Here is a 1335-nt window from a genome sequence, read left to right on the forward strand (position 1 = left end):
ATCCAGAAATTCCGTTTTTTGTTACTTATTCAAAAGAAGTAAAAACAGAGCCTCTAACAGATATTTGACACCCATGTTTATAACCGCATTATTCATGATAGCTAAAATGTGGAAGCAACACAAGTGTCCATGGACAGATGAATGAATAAACCCAATGTGGTGTGTACATGCAATGGAATATTATTCAGTCTTAAAAAGGGAAGGAAATTTTGACACATGGTACAGCCTGGATGAAGCTTCAAGACATTATGCTAAGTGAAATAAAACAGTCATAGGCGGAGAAATTCCATTTATATGATATCTCTAGAATGCTCAAATTCAGACACATGAAAATCCAGCTACCTGTCAGCCCCAGAGGAGTGAGGGCCAACCTTAGTGCCCCAGGGCTCTGGTGTTTTCCCTAATCAGTACCTCAGGGCTCTCCAAGAGCTGTTGTAGAAAATGCCTCTGGAGGTCTCAAGAACAAACCCCCTCCAGGATCAGAAAAGCCTGGGGCGGTACTCCCCACAGGGCCATTGTCTGGCTGTGCAACAGTAGGTAGGTGACTAACCCACTCTGTGCCTCAACTTCCTCAGCCGGTAACAGGGTGGTAACAGCACCTGCCTCCTGCCACGCTGAGGACACTGAGATGAGCAAGTGCAGTGCTTGGTCACCGCCCCGTCAGTGTGACTTTTTTTCATCATCCACCCTCATCTCCTGGCAGGCAGGGACCCCAAGGGTGGAGGATTACCTTGCTGAAACAGGAACAAACATTCCCTGCATCTGTGACTTTGCAAACGTATCAGGAACCACAAGGACCTGGAATTGTTCCAAGTGCTACAGTGAGTGAGTCATAAAAAGCAGACATAATTCTCCTAACACCTGCCTGCTGTGTGCTCTGCACGTGCCAGGAGGGGCTGGAGGAAGAGGAGTGTCTACTCACCAAGGAGGGGCCAGTGTCTCTCTGTTTCATGAGCTGGGAGTTTTGAAGGCTGAGATTGCAGAGGAGGCGGGAAACAGTGTCAAAAAAGGAAAATGGACATTATAGTAAAGTGCTGGACAGTTTCCAAGGCTTTTCACGCGCTTGTTCTCCTTGATCCTCGCCCCATGCTCAAGAGAGGAACAGCATGGGTGTCCTCATTTTGCAGAAGAGGAAACTAGGGCTCAGAGACTACCAGAACAAAGCTGACTGGTGCTGGGCTCCTACCATGCTCCATGACACTTTGATGGGCCTTCATCTTTCTATCAATAGTTGGCCTCTAACAGCGCCAACTATTAATAGAAAGGGCCGAGCTAGATGGAAATTTGCTCTGCTCAGTGGTACACATTCAGATGGACTCTGCAGGCTCAGAGATT

General features: G+C 47.5%; 1 annotated feature.

Annotated features, from left to right (window-relative positions):
* Positions 699-993: a silencer, noted in NCBI's record as "tiled region #13064; HepG2 Repressive non-DNase unmatched - State 24:Quies". NCBI's record gives its function as "represses a minimal TATA promoter and a strong SV40 promoter by Sharpr-MPRA in HepG2 cells {active_cell/tissue: HepG2}" and the evidence as "EXISTENCE:reporter gene assay evidence [ECO:0000049][PMID:27701403]".

This window comes from Homo sapiens, chromosome 1 (assembly GCF_000001405.40).
Source record: "Homo sapiens chromosome 1, GRCh38.p14 Primary Assembly".
Classification (NCBI taxonomy): Eukaryota; Metazoa; Chordata; class Mammalia; order Primates; family Hominidae; genus Homo; species Homo sapiens.